Genomic DNA, 3,157 nt, shown 5'->3' on the forward strand with positions numbered 1-3,157 from the left:
GGCCAACATGGCGAAAACCCATCTCTACAAATGTACAAAAATTAGCTGGGTGTGGTAGTGCACGCCTGTAATCACAGCTACTCGGGAGGCTGAGGCACGAGATTCGCTTGAACCCGGAAGAGAGAGGAGGCAGTAAGTGAGATCTTGCCACTACACTCCAGCCTGGCAAGAAAGCAAGATCATGTCTCAAAAGAAAAAAAAAAAAAGAGAGAGAGAGAGAGAGAGAGAGAGATGGAACAATCACAGCCCAAAGATGAACATTCTGTCAAATACCGAGCCTCCCTGGTTTCTTGCTGAAGCTTGGGAAATCCCCTGGCTTTGCATTTCTGTGGACTCTCAACATCCATTCCCTCCCTTCCTTCCAACGCCTCCTTTTTCAGCGTTTTAGAATTGGGCCAATTACAATGGAGATATGGATATATCTCCAGAAAAGTCAATCTGCAAGGAAAAATTAACCATACAGTATTTTGAAAGCTGCCTAGCAGCAGAAAACACATCGCCACGGGCTTGCATAAACTGTGCCTAAATTTTGGAAATCATAAGTGGATGTGAATGTAACACTCCTGAGTTACACATTGGGTGTGGCCCTCAGAAAATCCTATCAGAGTACACTGGCATTTAATAGACCATTTCCTCTGTTGTTATGGGGCATCCTGACAATGTATTGTACAAATTTGCCACATAAACTGGTAATAGCCCTTAGGAAAGCAGTTTAGCTGTGGTGTCGAGAATGATTTAAATGTTTATCCCCTTTCACATAATAATCTCACTCAAGCCTGGCACGGTGGCTCACGCCTGTAATCTCAGCACTTTGGGAGGCCGAGGCAGGAGGATCACTTGAGCCCAGGAGTTCAAGACCAGCCTGGGCAACATAACAAGACCTTGTCTCTACAAAAAAAAAATTAGCCGAGCATGATGACACATGCCTGTAGTCTCAGCTACTCAGGAGGCTGAAGTGGAAGGATTGTTTGAGTCCAGGAGGCTGAGGCTGCAGTGAGCTGTGATTATGCCAGTGTGCTCTAACCTGGGAGACAGAGTGAGACCTTGTCTCTAAAAAACAATAATAATAATAATAACAATAAAATAACAATCTCGCTCACTCCTGGAAATTGATCCTAATAAATCTTTTTTGTCAAGCTATGTATTTAAAGATGTTTATTACAGTGGAATCTGTAAGGAGGGATGGGTGTGAAAAAGGGATACATAACTTATTCAATATTACTTGAATAGCTATGTGAATTATAGCATATATATCCTGTAAAATGTTATGCTGCAATTGAAAAGTTTAATTATGTAACAATGTAGAAGAATGTCAATAATATCATATTAAGTAGAAACAGCAGAATATAAAATTGTACATGCCCTCTGATTAAGAAACTGTAAAAAATACTAATGTCTGAAGAACAGAGCCTGGAAGGGACTAAAGAAAATCAGAACAAATATATTCAGATGCTGCAACAGAGTTGTCTGGGGGGTTCTTTCAAAAGTTCCTTTTAGCTGGGCACGATGGCTCACATCTGTAATCCCAGCACTTTTGGAGGCTGAGGCCGGCAGATCACCTGATGTCAGGAGTTCAAGACCAGGCTGGCCAACATGGTGAAACCCCATCTCTACGAAAAATACAAAAATTAGCCAGGCGTGATGGTGCGTGCCTGTAGTCCCAGCTACTTGGGAGGCTGAGGCAGGAGAATCGCTTGAACCCTGGAGGCAGAGTTTGCAGTGAGCTGAGATCACGCTACGGCACTGCAGCCTGGGCAACAGGGTGCGACTCCATCACAGGGAAAAAAAAAAAAGGTACTTTTATGTTATTTTAATAGAGGTTTTGTAATTGGTAGAAACAAAAACAAGTGCAGCAGTGGAATTAATATGAGGAGTGAAAATAAGAAGACAACCGAGTGGCAGTTACAGAAATTTTTGGTTTAGTCGATTTTGTGACACAACTGACTATAATGCCATTTAAATGCCATTTGTCATAGAGGATTCTCCAAAGCTAGAGCAGGTGAAGGACACAGTGTTTTTGTTTGGTTGGTTTTGGGGGTTTTTTTCTGTTTGTTTTTTGAGACAGGATCCTGCTCTGTTGTCCAGGCTGGAGCGTAGTAGAGCAATCACCACTCACTGCAGCCTCAGCCTCCTGGGACCAAGCAATCTGCCTACCTCAGCCTCCTGAGTAGTTCTGCAGCTTCAGCCTCCTGGGACCAAGCAGTCTGCCTACCTCAGCCTCCTGAGTAGTTGGGACCACAGGCGTGTGCCACCACACCAGCTAATTTTTTATATTTTACTATTTTTTTTAGAGATGGGGGTCTCACTATGTTGCCCAGGCTAAGGAAATAGTTAGTTGTTTAGTGGATGGGGACGAGGGGAGAACTTACCAGCATTCAAAGCGCTTTCTTTTTTTAAAGAGACAGGGCCTCATTGTGTTGCCCAGGGTGAAGTGCAATGGCTATTCACAGGCGTCATCCCACTACTGATCAGAATGGGAGTTTTCACCTGCTCTGTTTCTGCCCCTGCTGATTTCACTCTTCTTTAGACAACCTGGTGGTCCTCCACCCCCAGAAGGTCACCATATTGATGCCAAACTTAGTGTGGACACTCAATTGGCAGAGCACACTATAGCCATAACTTCTAGACTCAAGTGATCCTCCTACCTCAGCCTCCCAAACAGGTGGAGCTATAGGCACACCACATGACAGCCACTGAAGTGCTGTAATAAACATATGCCATCATATTATTTTCTCTCAAGACATAGTATTTCTAGTGACCTTTATGCTACCTTAGAGTTGAACATAGTACTATTGTACCTTTTTTTATTTGAGATGGAGTCTTGCTCTGTTGCCCAGGCTGGAGTACAATGGTGGGATCTTAGCTCACTGCAACCTCCACCTTCCAGGTTCAAGCAATTCTACTGCCTCAGCCTCCCGAGTAGCTGGGACTACAGGCATGCACCACCACTCCCGGCTTATTGTTTGTATTTTTAGTAGAGATGGTGTTTCACCATGTTGGCTAGGCTGGTCTCGAACTCCTGACCTCAGGTGATCCATCTGCCTCAGCCTCCCAAAGTGCTAGGATTACAGGAATGAGCCACCGCGCCCCGCCTATTGTACCTTTTAGAATCCTTTCACTACCAGCAAATTCTAGAAGTATGTCTGGAGGAACTACC

At 44.2% G+C, this 3,157-nt stretch overlaps 1 pseudogene; it reads right to left on the bottom strand.

The window, feature by feature from the left end:
* Nucleotides 2,398-2,691, bottom strand: RN7SL705P (RNA, 7SL, cytoplasmic 705, pseudogene; annotated as a pseudogene).

This window comes from Homo sapiens, chromosome 18 (genome assembly GCF_000001405.40).
Source record: "Homo sapiens chromosome 18, GRCh38.p14 Primary Assembly".
Lineage (NCBI taxonomy): Eukaryota > Metazoa > Chordata > Mammalia > Primates > Hominidae > Homo > Homo sapiens.